Consider the following 15,774-nt stretch of genomic DNA (forward strand, 5'->3'; position numbering starts at 1 on the left):
AAAAAAAAAAAAGACCCAAAAATGGGATTATGAAGGGTGGAAATGAAAATTTCTAGAAAATGCTTCTGAAGCAAAAATTATTGAAGCAGAAATGATTTCAGCTTCCAAACTTGTACATACAGCTAAAAACCAATATATCTTCCACTTCTGGGATGGTGGAAGGGACAGATATTCTGTTTGGGTGTCTGTAACAAGCATTTTAAAACTGGTGCCATCACATCAGGATGTTGGGGTGCCTAGGATGGCGGGGTCCCCACATCCTTACGGAGTGCTTAGTGTCTTTTCATAGGTGTGGAAGACGAGGTTGCCTCTGAAGCTTACTGATCTCAGTTGAATCTGGAATGATGTTTAGAATCTCCAGGTCAAAAAGAAGGTTCAACCTTCTTAACGACCCTTGAGCTGGGCTGGGTAGATCTAGAAATTCTTCCAAACCCTGAGCTCAACTCAGGTCACAGACACTTATCAAACTTGGTGTTGTCCTTCCTGGCTGCGCCTCCCTGGGAAGGAGGGGCCCCCGCAGCAGCAGAGCCCACGTGATGTGGGGAAATCAGTCAGAGCGCCTGATTCCGAGGGAGAAACCAGCTCAGCTCACACACGAACCTATGAAAATTCTTTATTGTTAATTTCTTTCTCCAACAGATATATTTTTAGTTGAAATATGGAGCCACAGCAACACTTTGACTTTTCCTCTTCAGAAGATGAGACAGGCCGGGGTCATCATTGTTACAAAAGCAAGGCCTGTGATCGTGACAAGGACAGGCTGGGGCAGAGACCACACACTCAACCAGGTATCCACCAGGTGTGGGCCCTTTATAGGAGCTACAAAGAGGGGGCAGCCAGCAATGTGGCCTCGACACCTGACTCCAGGCACTCCGACCTGGAGGAGGGAGATGAAAGAACTCACCTTTCCCCAGGGGCTCAGCCAGACCTCCAGGCCCCTGAGCGGGGAGAGTGCGTGTGTGTGCACATGTGTATGAGTGTGCACACGGGTGTGCTCACTCACACAGCACATGCACACATGCGCTGCCCCTCCTGAGATGCTCTCAGGTCCCTGCCAGGGTAGGGTTGTAGCTGTGTTCCCCACAGCTGACTGTCAGCTAACCAGGGCTAGGGGTGAGTGCATGGTGGAGGACACAGGGTCTTAGCCTGATGCTCGAATCCTCCTTCTGGAACAGGCTGATGGTGCCAGAGCACAGCACGAACCACCTACCCACCATGGGGCTCTCCAGGGCTCGGTCATTTGGCTCCTGTGCACTTCATGACACTCAGGAGCCCCTACGGCCCGAGCCCCAAGCCCCGAGAAAGGGGAAAGATTTGGTTCTGAGAGGGTCCCACTGGCCCTGGGCACCTAGGGGCCTCAGCATCTACCAGCATAGGGGAGGGTGGCGGCCCCCTTCCTGAGGACTGCATCTTTCTCCAGCCGCTCTCCCCAGATCCCACACCTGCCAGTGAGCCAGGGAGATAGGAGGACCACCTCCCTCCCAGGGAAGGGGGTGGCAGGTGGAAGGACTTAGGTTTGGTGCAGGAACACTAGACCTGCCCCTCACCCCCTGCCTCCAGGACTGCCATTCTGAACTGCAATTCTGGGCCTGAGTTTGGCTTAAGGGCCAGTCTGAAGGGACTTGCTTGGTGAAGGCCCAGCCAGCTGTCCCAGTGGCATTTCATAAACAAACGATACTGTCCCTTCCAGGCTGACCTGGAGAGAGACCCTTCCAAAGGCAGTGGAGTGGAGGGCATGGGCCTCCGATGAGAGAACTCCAGAGCTGGCCGGGACCTACTGTGCTGGCAGCAGACAGGTAGGAGCCTGGCTGGGGTAGGTCAGGGGTTGGTGTTTAGCTGGAGGTCTCCTGGGCCTTGTGAGCCAAGCTGGGGCTTTTATGTGGGTTCTGGGCTCCCAGAGACCTCCGCCAGATGACCTCCAGAGTCTTTGGGGTCTCACACTGGGAGAAGCTCCTCCCCTTTCCAAGATGACCCCCAAAATGAGGCCTCAGGAAGTGGTACACAGAAGGATGGCCAAGAGGACAGAGCTGGGTAGTACGCCTCTGCTGGGCGCGGCCTGGCCGGTGGGGCCTGGACGGTGCCTCAGCAATCCCTTTCTCACCAAGGGACGCTGGCTGGTTGCCAGCTCATGCAGGCAGTGCACATAAATCCCGCCTAACGGTTACCTCTAGGCCCTGGGCTGCTCGTTCAAGACGACACAAAGCTCCTCAGGGGCCCAACTTTCCAGCTGTGGACCCTGCTCAGGGTTCTCGGGGTCCCCTTGCTGGTGGAGGCAGGTGCACTCATTAAAGCAAATGTACTCTCCAGGTGGACCCTCAGGCCCAGAGCCGGCAGCAGAGGGGGGTGAATCCATGGCAACAGGAGTCACAGGTGAACCAATGGGAAACCAAACACACGCATCGAAAGCCAATCAAACACAAACCCCAAATGTGAAGGCAGCAGCAAGTTCTTTGTGTAATAAATATTGCAAAGCGCACTTGGTTTCTTTCTTTTCAAGTCAAATATAACGACTAATGTCCCAGACCCTGTTTTCTGCATTCAAAATAGGGAAGCTGTTGATATCAGCAGAACACCTGCAGCCAAAGAAAAAAACCGTTTCCCATTAACCAGCCAATCACAGATCCTTTCCAGTTTAAGCAGCCAATCAGACCTCTTCACATTTCTAAAAAAATGACCTAACTAAAGCACCAGAGCTCGGAGAGCTTCCAGGGAAGCCAGATACCGAGGCGCAAATTTTTTAAAAAATAAGAGTCAGAAATAAAAATAAAAGGTTTCTGTTGGTCAAGATTTAAAAAATAAAAAAGTTTCTTCCTGCAGCCAATCACAAGTCCATCCCTTTAAGCCAATTATAAACGCACCACTGGTGTCTCCCTTGATGCCAGCCCCACTGAGTAGCTGTGAGGTGGGGTGGGGCAGGGCAGGGTTGGGTAGGGGAAGGGGGAGGTGGGGCAAGGGGGGCTGCTGCCACTCAGCCGGCCCAGGAGCCACACAGATCTCTTGGCCCTCAACAGCATCCAGGGTGTTCCAAGGGCTTTGCAGCTACTGCCTCCGGTCTTCCGTCTCCGACCTGGAAAACGCCATCACCACGTCCTCTGCACCTGCAGATAAGGCGACAAGGATCGCTGATGGGGCTTGCAGCATTGGCTTGCGAACAGGACAAGCAAGGAGGCTGCGGCCAAGCTGGAGCCCCCGCCCACCAGGATCGCGGCACTCTCTGAGGACAAAGTACTTCCGAGGAAGTCTTCCTCCCCTCTGGTCTTCCCTGCCTCCTGGCTGGGGACAAGGCTTGCAACCCTGCTGTAGGGCTGCAAGGCAGGGCTGCCAGGGTGAGGCTCAGAGGCTTGCTCAAGGCTACACAGCTGACAGGTGAGCCATGACGAGGCCCCAGGTGACCTGGAGCAGGGCTCAGCGCTGCTCACAGCCCTTGCTCCAGAGTTACCAAAGCCAGAGGCGGGGTGGCCCTTGGGAACCTCCCTCTTTCTTCTCAAGACTCGCGTCTTGATGCCTTCGGAGGGTCTGGCTCACTGTGGTTTTAAATAGCCATTCCTCTTTGCAGCAGCTTCTCCTTCACCCAAACCCAACACCTCTTCCAAGAAGTATGGCCGGGCCCACGTCCAGCCTGCTGTCCGCCTGGCTCTGACTGAGACAGATATGCCCACAATCCTTCTTTTTCTTTTTCTTTTTCCTTTTTCTTTCTTTTTTTTGTGTGTGATATGGAGTCTTGCTCTATCACCCAGGCTGGAGTATAGTGGCACAATCTCGGCTCACTGCATCCTCTGCCTCCCGGGTTCAAGCGATCCTCCTGCCTCAGCCTCCTGAGTAGCTGGGATTACAGGTGTGCATCACCACGCCCGGCTAATTTTTTTGTATTTTTAGTAGAGATGAGGTTTCACCATGTTGGTCAGGCTGGTCTCAAACTCCTGACCTCATGATCCACCCACCTCGGCCTCCCAAAGTGCTGGGATTATAGGCAGGAGCCACCGTGCCCAGCCAATCCTTCTTTTTCTTAATCCTGAATTTGAGATTCTGGCCCAGGCACTTGTGAAATCACGTCCTTTGTCTTGTTTTCCAGAGGACAGGCTCTGATGAGTGGCCAGGACAGGCAGTGGCAGGAGGGCAAAGCTCGAAATGCTGACCTGCCACCCACACCCACAACTGCCTGGGGAGTTAGGGGCTGACATGGCCAGGGAGGGGCTGTGGGCCAGGAGGTGACCTGTAGGGCCCCACCTTGACTCCCTGACCCTGTCCTGCTGCTCTCACCCCCTTTGTAAAAGGCCAGATCTTCACTTTGCCCCGAAAAGTACCAGTCTGGCTGCCCATGGTCTTTCTGACATGTTGTCTGTGCTACTGCAGGTATTCTCTCTGGGAGGGGGTGGATCGGAATAGGAGAGACAGGAAAGGCCACCCGAGGGTGGGCCAGTGTGGGGAGTGTGAAGTGAGGCTCCTGGCATGTGAAATGGAGTCAGCAGAGTGAGCCGGCCTCCACTCAGTGAGCCGGGTCTCCCCCACAGCCGGCATGTGCTGACCTCCTTCCAACTGCTCTACCAAGAGAGGGAGGACGCACCCAGCTGTCGGGAGGGCCAGAGATGGAGGGCCCAACTACAAGGATGCAATGCACAAGACACACCTTCCACTTGGCACTAGAGAACCAAGGTGCTGCTAAGGGAATGAGCCTTGTCACCTCCCACTGCCAGCTCGCCTTCATGGGGTTCTGGCTTTACCAGCACAACCTCCATTGCTCAGAAGGGAAATAAGCATCTAGAAAGGGACACGAGTTGTCCAGCTTCCTAGGATGGGGCACCCTCGCTTGGGAAGCCCTATGAATCCTTCCCGTCTTCTCAGGAACATTCTGTTTTCGCCTGAGCCCTAGGACCACGCAATATCACTGCAGGCAGAATTTTCCTAGCAACCACAGAATCCAAGATTACATCATCCCCTGCACGGCAGCTGAGTTGGTTACCTAACAGATGCCGACTTTTCCTGAGTGCTGCTTGCCCAGCTTGCTAATCAGAAGGGGGCTGGCAAGAGTCTGTGAAAGGGGAGTTGTCAGCAGAAGATGCCTTAGTGGCAGTGATGGTGGCAGCCCGCTCACTCCTCTCCCTGCCTGCCCTGTGGCCTTTCGCTCAGGGACCTTGGGCCTCTGTAGTGAGCTGCAGGCACAAAAATAGCCCTGGATGCCCCAGGAGGGAATGGTGCATCTACAGAGGGAATGGGCCATTGGCTTCTCAGAGGAGCCCAGACCTGGGGACCAGGACTCCCGACTCCACAGCCTGCCCAGTGTGTGTGCCTGTCCTGCGCTCTGAGGGTGGGAAGGAAGTAATCTTCTCCAGGTCACACAGGGACTCTGATGGCTATTTAACAAGACACTTGAAGCAAAGGATTTGCAAGAGTCCTACCCTTCCCACACTGCCAGCTGCCACCCCCTTCCCTGGTGGCATTTATAGAGCCTCCCACTGTGCTGCTGGAGCCCTGCAGAGAGGAAAAGGCCTGAGGAGCTGCGGCCTGTCTGTGCTCTCTTCTGTTCCTTAAGGATATTATCCAGGCTTTACCACAAGGATCTGCTTTCCTTTGGGATGAAAGAGAAGGCAGGCTCTCAGTTCTTCCAGAGCATTCTCTGACCTACCCTTGTCACTGGTTGGCCAGGTATTTGTCATTCAATGAGGTCTCACCATGAACCTGACAGGCCTCTGGCCGAGGACACTGGTTCCCCTTTTCCTCTTCTCTATGAAATTTGGGCCAGTTACCGAATAGGGAGGGTGAGCTGTTAGATTATGATCATGACTCGATCCCTCAGAGCTGCAGTTTTAGAGCCAGGAGGGACCTCAGAGGTTGAGTCCTACAGTCTTTCCTTTGAAGACCAGCATATGGCAGCTCCCTCAGGTAGTCTCGCTGTCCTGGATGCACAGCAAAGAGGGCAGCAGGCCAGCCCACTGCCTCCAGGCTGCCAGCTGGGTTTCCTACCCTGTTTTACAGATGAAGCTCTGTCTCCCCCCTTGGTATCTCTGTTGACACTGTCTGAACTTGAGCTCAGAGCTTCTATTTGTCCCTTCCCACCAGATGCAAGTGAGCATAGGAGGGGAGAGGTTGATCTGTGTCTCCTGTTCCACACTCAAAAACATTAAAAGATAAGGATAGCCAAAACCCGATGACAGTATCATGAGAAAAGAGAACTACAGATGAGTATCTCACATGAATATAGATGCAAACATACCCAACAAAATGCTAGCAAACTGAATACAACAACATATAAAAAGGATTCTATACCCTGACCAGGTGAGATTTATCCCAGGAATGCAAGGTTGGTTTAACATCTGAAAATCAATGACTGTAAAACACCATATCAATAGGATAAAGGACAAAAACCATACAGGAAAAGCAGCTGATGAAATCCAACATAATAAAACCACTCAACAAGGCCAGGTGCAGTGGCTCACGCCTGTAATCCCAGCACTTTGGGAGGCAGAGGCAGGTGGATCACTTGAGGTCAGGAGTTCGAGACCAGCCTGACCAACATGGTGAAACCCCATCTCTACTAAAAATACAAAATTAGCTGGGCATGGTGGCACATGCCTGTGTTACTTGTGAAGGCTGAGCCAGGAGAATCGCTTGAACCTGGGAGGTGGAGGTTGCAGTGAGCTGAGATCGCGCCATTGTACTCCAGCCTGGGCAACAAGAGTGAAACTCCATCTCAAAAAAAAAAAAAAAAAACCCACTCAACAAACTAGAAGAGAACAACCTCTATCTGATAAACGGCATCTATGAAAATCCCACAGCTCTTATCATATTTGTTGTGAAAACTCTCCCTACCAAGATTATGAACAAGAAAAGGATGTCCGCTTTCACCATTCTTATTCAATATTGGCTTGAGGTCCATTCCAGGTTAGGTAAGTTAAGAAAAAGAAATAAAAGCCATCCAGATTGGAAAGGAAGAAGTAAAACTATCCCTATTTGTAGATGACATGATCTTATATGTAGAAAATCATAAGGAATCCACTAAAAAAAAATTTTTTTTTTTTGAGATAGGGTCTCACTCTGTCACCCAGGCCAGAGTGCAGTGGCATAATCTTCACTGACTGCAACCTCCGCCTCCCAGGCTCAAGCAATCCTACCACCTCAACCTCCCGAGTAGCTGGGACTATAGGTGTGTGCCACCACATCTGGCTAATTTTTGTATTTTTTGTAGAGATGGGGTTTTGCCATGTTGTCCAGGCTGGTCTCGAGCTCCTGAGCTCAAGTGATCTGCCCACCTTGGCCTCCCAAAGTGCTGGGATTACAGGCTTGAGCTACTGCACCTGGCCCACTAAAAAACTATTAGGACTAATAAACAAGTTAAAGGTACAGGATACAAGGTCAATATACAAAAATCAATTGTATTTTTATATACTAGCAATGAACAATCAAAGTAAAATTAAGAAAATGATTCCACTTATAATTGCATTAATCATAATAAAACACTTAGGAACAAATTTAACAAAGTGCAAATTTTTATGCTTTGAATAGTACACAACATTACTGAATAAAATTCAATACATGATCTCTATCAAAATCCCTTTCTTGGGGAGTTTGTAAAAATTGCCTTTTTTTTTTTTTTTTTTGTAGAAATTGACAAGGTGATCCTAACATTCATATGGGAAGGGAAGGGACCCAGAATATCCAACACCACCTTGAAAAAGAAGAAGTTGGACTCACACTTCCCAATTTCAAAACTTACTACAAAGGCAAGGTCAACGAGACTGGGTGGTACTGGCATAAGGACAGACATATAGATCAGTGGAACAAAAATGAGAGTTCAGAAATAAACCCTCCAACTTATGGCCAGTTGATTTTTGACAAGGGTGCCAAGACAATTCAGTGGGGAAGAAATGAACAAATGTGTGGTGGGACAACTGGATATTCACATGCACAGGATGAAATTGGACTCTTACCTTGCAGCATCTAAAAAAATTAACCTGAAATGGATAAATGACCTAAATACAAGAGATAAAGTTATAAAAATCTTGGAAGAAAATATAGAAACAAATTTTTATGACCTTGGATTAGGAAATGCTTTTTTTTTTTTTTTTTTCCTGGACAGGGTCTTGCTCTGTCACGCAGGCTAGAGTGCAGTGGTACAATCAGCACTCAAAGCAGCCTTGACCTTCTGGACTCAATTGATTCTCTCACCTCAGCCTCCTGAGGAGCTGGGACCACAGGCCCACACTGCTACACTCGGCTAATTAATTTTTTTTTGGCCAAGGTGGGCAGATCACTTGAAGTCAGGAGTTTGAGACCAGCCTGATCAACATGGTGAAACCCCATCTCTACTAAAAATATCAAAAAGTTAGCTGGGCGTGGTGGCACATGCCTGTAGTCCCAGCTACTCGGGAAGCTGAGGCACGAGAATTGTTTGAACCCAGGAGCTGGAGGTTGCAGTGAGCTGAGATCGCACCACTGCATTCTAGTCTGGGCGACAGAGTGAGACTCTGTCTCAAAAAAAAAATAAGAAATAAATAAATAAAAGAAAAATTGTTTTGACAGATGGGGTATCTTCCTATGTTGCCCAGGCTGGTCTTGAACTCCTGGGCTCAAGCCATCCTCTTGCCTCTGCCATGTAAAGTACTGGGATTACAGGAATGAGCCTCCACGCCTGGCAGGAAATGGTTTCTTAGTTATGATATCTAAAGCACAAGCAACAGAAAAAAATAAATAAATAAAGAGAACTTTATCAAGATTAAAAACTTTTCTGTTTCAAAAGACACCATCGAGAATGTGAAAAGACAACACACAGAATGAAAGAAAATGTTGACAAATCATATATCTGGTAAGGGACTATTACGCAAAATACGTAAAAAATTCTTTTTTTTTTTTTTTTTGAGAGGGAGTCTCGCTCTGTTGCCCAGGCTGGAGTGCAGTGGCGTGATCTCAATCTCACCACAATCTCCGCCTCCCGCATTCAAGCGATTCTCCTGCCTCAGCCTCCAGAGTACCTGGGATTACAGTCGCCAGCCACCATGCCCGGCTAATTTTTGTATTTTTAGTAGAGACGGGGTTTCACCATGTTGGCCAGGCGGGTCTCAAACTCCTGACCTTGGGTGATCCACCTGCCTCAGCCTCCCAAAGTGTTGGGATTAAAGGCATGAGCTACCATGCCTAGTCCATAAAGAACTCTTAAAACTCAGTAATAGGCTGGGTGCAGTGGCTCACGCCTGTAATTCCAGCATTTTGAGAGGCCGAGATGGGGGATCACCTGAGGTCAGGAGTTCGAGACCAGTCTGGCCAACATGGTGAAACCCAGTCTCTACTAAAAATAAAAAATTAGCAGGGTGTGGTGGCGGGCACCTGTAGTCCCAGCTACTCGGGAGGTTGAGGCAGGAGAATCGCTTGAACCCGGGAGGCAGAGGTTGCAGTGAGCCAAGATCACGCCACTGCACTCCAGCCCGGGTGACAGAGTGAGATGCCATCTCAAAAACAAAACAAAACAAAACAAAAAAAACCCTCAATAATAAAAAAGTGGAGAAAACCCCAATTTAAAAAAATGGGTGGCTGGGCGCGGTGGCTCACGCCTGTAATCCCAGCACTTTGGGGGGCCAAGATGGGCAGATCACAAGGTCAGGAGATCAAGACCATCCTGGCTAACACGGTGAAACCCTGTCTTTACTAAAAATACAAAAAATTAGCCGGGTGTGGTGGCGGGCGCCTGTAGTCCCGGGAGGGACTGTTGTACTCGGGAGGCTGAGGCAGGAGAATGGCGTGAACCCGGGAGGCAGAGCTTGTAGTGAGCTGAGATAGCACCGCTGCACTCCAGCCTGGGTGACAGAATGAGACCCTGTCTCAAAAAAAAAAAAAAAAAGGCCAGGCACAGTGGCTCACGCCTGTAATCTCTGCACTTTGTCTGCACTTTGGGAGGCCGAGGCGGGCAGATCACCTGAGGTCAGGAGTTTGAGACCAGCCTATCCAACGTGGTGAAACCCCGTATCTACTAAAAATACAAACATTAGCCAGATGTGGTGGTGCGCTCCTGTAGTCCCAGCTACTGGGGAGGCTGAGGCAAGAGAATCTCTTGAACCCAGGAGGTGGAGGCTGCAGTGAGCTGAGATCACGCCATTGCACTCCAGCATGGACGACAGACCAAGATTCCGTCTCAAAAACAATAACAACAACAACAACAAAAATCCAAAACTATGATAAACCATTTCACATCTACTAGAATCAAAAAGACAGATGAGAACAAGTGTTGGCCAGGTTGTGGAGCAATTGGAACCCTCATCCATTCATTGCTGGTGGGAGTGTCAGGTGGTGCAGCTGCCAAGCCTGCTCCACAGTCTTTCCCATCTCAGCTGATGGCACCTCCATCCTCCTGTTGCTCAGGTCAGAAGTCCTGGGGTCTTCCCAACCCCTCTGTCATACATAAACTCCACACACAATGCATCAGCAAATCCCATTGACTCTACTTCGCTACTTATAAGGTAGATGCTAAGTACATCACCACTTCTGCCACCACCACCCTGGTCGGGGGTGGGTGGACTCCTGAATCCCCGCTTGCCTTGACCTCCTCTCGCTGGCCCCTGATGGTCCATTCTCCACATAACTGCCAGGGGGAAGTTGTTAGAAACCTAAGTCAGCTCCTACCATGCCTTTGCTCAAAACCCTCCAGAAGCTTCTACTGCAAGACTGCTCATCATACTCAAGGCCAACGCCCACCTCCTCACTGTGGCCTGCAGGACCCACACACGCTGGTCTCTGACTGCCACTTCGCCTCCCTTTACAACACACCTCTCACCACTCACTGCGCCAGCTACATGGGCCCCTGGCCATCCTTCAAGCACAAGTCCTTACACCCCAGGGCCTTTGCACCTGCCGCTTCTGTTGCCTTGATGTTCTTCTCCAAGTTTATCCCATGGTTCTTGCACTTCATAGAGGCCCTCCCTGAACACAACTTCTAAAATGGCCCTTGTGTCTCAATACTTCAGGTGAATGAGGTCTTCAGCACCCTCAGTGCTACCCACAGAGCTCTATATTGAGCTGACCTTCCTTTCTCCACTGGAACGTACATCTCATGTCATCAGGGACTTTGTTTTGTTCACTGACATAGTCACAGTATCTGGGCAAGTACCTGGGACACAGGATGAATCTTTACTTTACAGATGAGGAAACTGAAACTCAGACAGACAAAGCAACTCAGTGAATCAGAGGCAGAGAGAAGACCCAGATCCAGACTCCAAAGCCCATGCCTTCACCCTAGAAGGAGAAAGGAAACCACAGACCTCTCCAGTCACCCACAGCACTAAGGCTCAACTGGCCTCCTAGCATCTTAGTTCCATCTTAGTTCCATCAGAATGGAACTAAGAACCAGGGCTTAAAAACACCACCAAAGCAGCCCAGGGACACCTTGGAGATAATTCAACATGGAACCCAGAGTGCCAACCTGGGAACAGCCCTGGCCCTGGCCCCCTGCCCCCAACTGGTCCCCACTCCTATCTCCCCTGAGCCCTGCTCCCTATCTCTGCCTACTGCCCTACCAGACACCTCACTAGTCCCCTGGCTCACCTGCCCTGGAAACCAGGGCCAGGACACTGGCAAAGGCGCAGCTTTCTAAACCAGGACAGGGTATCCAGCAGGCCCTCCCATCCTATGCCCAATGCCAGCTTTGCCCCTTTAGTGGAGTCCAGTCAATTGACTGGGGAGAAAAAATGACAAATATGCAGGAGCTTAGAAAAGGGAAGCTGGCCCCTAGCCGGGGGCGGGAGAGAGACAATGGGAGCTCAGGATGAACTCCCACCAGCATGCTGGAACCAGCTCTGCTCCCGCCAACACTCACCCTAGGCCTGGCCTGGCTTACTCAGGCTTTTGGAGAAAGCCTCCTGGGGGCCTCTGACAACTCCCAAAGTCTGCTGAGAATCCCTCTTGCTATTTGAGACTCTTAAGCTGAAGTCTTTCAAAGGTCCTTTCCTGAATATACTGGGCAGCTCGATGCATTTCCTGAACTGCCAGGGCAGGCTGCTATTGGCCCTGCAGGATTATAGCTGGGTCAGCAATAGTGGATGAAAGAGAGGAGCATGGAGATTCTAAAGCCCCAAGGCCAATCCACAGAGCAAGGGCATTTCACAGACCTGGCTGGGGAAATCCTGGCGGAGCCTAGTGCTGCACTAGCTCCTAATTTGCAAACTTGGAAACAGGCTGGTCCCAGGCCACATGGGTGAAATGTAGCAGACAAAGGCCTGTGACCCTGATCTGTAGACCCTGTTCCCACCTCCAGGGTGCCTCCCTGGACTATCCAACATGGTGGGGTCTGCTTTCACAGCAAAGAGGAGGGCTTGGTCCTGGCTTCATTTCACCAAAGCATCTGGGTGTGGGAGGGACAAGCTGACCTCTTACCCCAGGGAACTTCTCCAGATCCAGGATCCTGCAAAGTCCAACTCAGCACAGGTGCTCAGAGGTGGCCAGGGAGAAAGAAAACAGACCTGAGCACAAGTCCTTCCTCCAAAATTGATGAGGGTACAAAAAAGCCTGGCTAAACTCCCAAAGGCCGCAGGCCCTGCAGGCTCCACAGACCAGGCAGGGCACAGCCCTGTACAATGTCACTGGAGAAAAAGGGGAACTTCAGTCACAGATGGACACTCCCGCATCACCCAATTCAGAACCAGGATTCTAGGCCGGGTGTGGTGGCTCATGCCTGTAATCCCAGCAATTTAAGATGCTGAGGCGGGTGGATCACCTGAGGTCAGGAGTTCAAGACCAGCCTGGCCAACATGGTGAAACCCCGTCTCTACTAAAAAAAAAAAAAAAAAAAAAAAAAACAAAACTTAGCTGGGCGTAGTGGCATATGCCTGTAGTCCCAGCTACTTGGGAAGCTGAGGCAGGAGAGTCGCTTGAACCTGGGAGGCGGAGGTTGCAGTGAGCCGAGATCACACCACTGCATTCTGCATTCTGGCATGGGCAACAGAGCAAGACTTCATCTCTCAAAAAAAAAAAAAAAAAGAAAAAAGAATCAGGATTCTTCCAGGCCCAGCTCCCCACAACCATGTGCCCTGGGGACAGGGAGCTTCTGCCACATCATCCTGCAAGACCACTGAAATCCTCACCACCCCTCTTCCTTGCTGGCCAGAACTTCCCAGGACGGTGTCAGACATTCTGGGGTCAGGTACCTGGAGGCCTCCTGAACTCCTCAGGAGCCTTACTCCTCCTAAAGAGGGTAAAAAAGTGGGGCGTGAAAATTCAGAAATGTGACCTGAAATCTTCAGGGTCTGCAAATTCTCATGGCTGATGCGGGGAGCTCCCTTTGTGAGTCACCATCAGCAGAGGGAGCTAACTTTGGCTAAGTGCTTCACAACTGTCCAGGGAATGCCACCTGGCAAGCCCAGGGCCCATCCTTGACACACATGGCAGACCAGGCTGGAGAGGGAATGCGACCACATGCTCCCAAGTGTCCAGGACAACGCCCACTCTGTGTCTCATCCTCTTCTCTGACCATATGGTTTTTGGTTGTGGTACCTTTTCCTCCTCCCACGAGCTCATTAATCTTGCTATTAATACCAACTAGCATCTGCTACCTGGCTATCCAAAACTGCAGTGGCTGAACTACCAGCTCTAGGGAAAGGCTACCTGGAAAAGCAGGACCCAGACGCTCCTCCAAAGGGAAGCATTTCTGAAGGGGACAAAACTCAGGTACCACCCTGGACTGGGCCTCCTCCCACACAAACCAAGACCTGCTGGTGGCATGTGCTATTTTCAGCAGCTCGGGACTATGAGCTGGGTGTTCTATACATCTCAGCTCTGATGCTCCAGAGTCCCCAGGGGATGGCTTTTACCCAGAGACAGCATACACTTGGGTTGCTATGGGGATGGCGGCCGGCGACCAGTGATCCACCAGGGTCTTAGCAGCCAAAGCAGCACCAGGCTCAGGGGCGCCTCCTGGGCTCCAGGCTGACAACCACCACAGGCACAAGAGGCTGCTGGGCGGTGGCACTGCAGCAGCCAGTGCTGTGTGGACGTGCATCGAGCTGCCAAGCTGCTGAGCCAGCTCCCAGTAGAGACATCAGGCCTCCTGGAACAGCCAAAAAGAGCTCAGGAGGCAGCTAAAGGCCCTCCTAGGCTTGGGGTCCCTTGTGGTACCCCAGTACCAAGACCCTGGAGCTGATACCCAGCCTGGGTCTGACTCTGACTAGCTGTGTATCCCAGGGGGAAGTCCCTGCACATCTAGCCTCAGTTTACTCATCTGTACAACGTGATGAATCTATCCCCAATCTAACTAGCCACAGGATAACATCCACAGCATAAAGCATCATAAACGACATCCCACAGGGTCGCACCTTGGGGCTCCGTTATCCCTGCTCTGTTCTAATCCCAGATGTGCTCCCCCAAATCCATCTTGCCCTGTTCCCACCCTCCCATCCCTGCTGAGCGTGACACACACATGACCTTTGTGATATGTCTTCCCAGGTAAGGTGTTCATTCCCTGTATTCAAATTCCTTGGTTCCCCAAAATATAAGCTCTCATAGACCAGGGAGCTTTGATTGCCAAGAAGGGACAGAGAAGACCAGGTCTTCACCTAAAACCCTGACATATTCTCTCTCTTTTTTTCTTTTTCTTTTATATACACACCTTCAATAGAGATGGGGTCTCACTATGTTGCCCAGGCTGCTCTCAAACTCCTGGACTCAAGTGATCTCCTGCCTCAGCCTCCCAAAGTGTTGGGATTACAGGCATGCACCACCGTGCCTGCCCCATCCTGGCATATTCTCAAATTTTAGTGGGCATCAGAATTGAATCACCTTGGGAGCTTGCTTAAAATGCAAATTCCCAGGCTCATCTGGCAGGCATTCTGGGGCTATGGCAGGGCCCAGGAGTCTGCATTTTAACAAGCACCCTCAGTGATTGAGGTGTGCAAATGTGTAGAGCATGCTCAGAGAGCTCAGTGCTACAGACTGTCCCCTGACCTCCACCCGACCCCAAGCTGTCATGCCTTCTTGCCCAGCATTCTGGAGGAGAATCCTGTAGCATCCTTCCCACCGGTTTCTCTACACGCACATCCGCATGCATTCTCCAAGGCCCCGTGCAAACAGCACCTCTTCTCTGTGGCTTCCTAGGTGGTCTCCCCTCCCTCAGCCCAAAGCTCTTTACGCATTAGTTCACACGCCAGTCTGCTCTGCTGGTCCAGGAGCTCACGGGCAGTGCTGAGGGGTGGCACCGTGCCTAGCACACAGCAACTGTGGGCTGATGTGAGTGGAACCGTCCAGCCATTGGATGGAGCAGCCCTCAATGCCCCTCTCTGACAGGGCCTGCCTCTTACCAGGGCTTGAGGGGGGAAGTGTAGAGTCCCACAAGGACTTCTCTGAGGCCATTCGGGCATCTGTTCTCAGTTCTAAACAACAGAACCCATGACGCGGGGTGATGGGGTCAAAGCGACCCTCCCTGGAGCCGCAGCCAGGTGCTGAGTAAGCAGCTGGGGTCAAAGCGACCCTCCCTGGAGCCGCAGCCAGGTGCTGAGTAAGCAGCTGGCCCTGCACTTCAGCACATTCCTCGCTTTTCTTGGGATTGTTTTTCCCCCTTTTTCAGTGACACAACTTATACACCAAATCCTCCTGGCTGATTTCTGTTCAATTCAATATATAGGTGATTTTTGGTTTAATTTTGTTATTAGGTTACAGGTAATTCTCATATAAGTGTTGATTAAAGTTAACAAAGATTAGCTTCCCATCTCATAGACTAGAATTCTCCCTGGGCCTGACTATAATTTCAGTGCAGAGTCTGTTACCGCCTGGAGCCTCTGAGAGAAGCCTCCAAGCCACATGCGG

At 51.0% G+C, this 15,774-nt stretch overlaps 1 protein-coding gene and 2 long non-coding RNA genes across 9 annotated transcripts in view, besides 5 other annotated features; 2 read left to right on the top strand and 1 right to left on the bottom strand.

The window, feature by feature from the left end:
- The window catches only part of CTNNBIP1 (catenin beta interacting protein 1), a 61,994-nt gene continuing 46,817 nt past the window's right edge, over positions 598 to 15,774 (bottom strand). For all 7 annotated transcript variants that reach the window (NM_001012329.2, NM_020248.3, XM_047425762.1 and 4 more), the window contains one exon: positions 598 to 3,098. In NM_001012329.2, coding sequence (NP_001012329.1) covers positions 3,040 to 3,098 — 59 coding nt within the window. In that variant the 3' untranslated portion in view covers positions 598 to 3,039. The remainder of the gene's footprint in view (positions 3,099 to 15,774) is intronic.
- Positions 639 to 1,140: an enhancer, noted in NCBI's record as "H3K4me1 hESC enhancer chr1:9908375-9908876 (GRCh37/hg19 assembly coordinates)". NCBI's record gives its function as "activates a minimal SCP1, AML or CMV promoter by ChIP-STARR-seq in primed H9 embryonic stem cells {active_cell/tissue: H9 hESC(primed)}" and the evidence as "EXISTENCE:reporter gene assay evidence [ECO:0000049][PMID:30033119]".
- On the top strand, positions 640 to 2,476 carry CTNNBIP1-AS1 (CTNNBIP1 antisense RNA 1). Its single transcript, NR_199045.1, has 3 exons — positions 640 to 788; positions 1,691 to 1,796; positions 2,308 to 2,476. It is a non-coding gene; the product is annotated as a CTNNBIP1 antisense RNA 1 (long non-coding RNA).
- Positions 2,275 to 2,414: an enhancer, noted in NCBI's record as "active region_138". NCBI's record gives its function as "activates an Ori minimal core promoter by ATAC-STARR-seq in GM12878 lymphoblastoid cells {active_cell/tissue: GM12878}" and the evidence as "EXISTENCE:reporter gene assay evidence [ECO:0000049][PMID:35858748]".
- Positions 2,495 to 2,544: an enhancer, noted in NCBI's record as "active region_139". NCBI's record gives its function as "activates an Ori minimal core promoter by ATAC-STARR-seq in GM12878 lymphoblastoid cells {active_cell/tissue: GM12878}" and the evidence as "EXISTENCE:reporter gene assay evidence [ECO:0000049][PMID:35858748]".
- On the top strand, positions 2,987 to 7,814 carry LOC105376717 (uncharacterized). Its single transcript, XR_946952.3, has 2 exons — positions 2,987 to 3,366; positions 7,600 to 7,814. It is a non-coding gene; the product is annotated as an uncharacterized LOC105376717 (long non-coding RNA).
- Positions 3,580 to 4,380: an enhancer, noted in NCBI's record as "H3K27ac-H3K4me1 hESC enhancer chr1:9911316-9912116 (GRCh37/hg19 assembly coordinates)". NCBI's record gives its function as "activates a minimal SCP1, AML or CMV promoter by ChIP-STARR-seq in naive H9 embryonic stem cells {active_cell/tissue: H9 hESC(naive)}" and the evidence as "EXISTENCE:reporter gene assay evidence [ECO:0000049][PMID:30033119]".
- Positions 11,965 to 12,859: an enhancer, noted in NCBI's record as "H3K27ac-H3K4me1 hESC enhancer chr1:9919701-9920595 (GRCh37/hg19 assembly coordinates)". NCBI's record gives its function as "activates a minimal SCP1, AML or CMV promoter by ChIP-STARR-seq in primed H9 embryonic stem cells {active_cell/tissue: H9 hESC(primed)}" and the evidence as "EXISTENCE:reporter gene assay evidence [ECO:0000049][PMID:30033119]".

Source organism: Homo sapiens, chromosome 1 (assembly GCF_000001405.40).
Source record: "Homo sapiens chromosome 1, GRCh38.p14 Primary Assembly".
Classification (NCBI taxonomy): domain Eukaryota; kingdom Metazoa; phylum Chordata; class Mammalia; order Primates; family Hominidae; genus Homo; species Homo sapiens.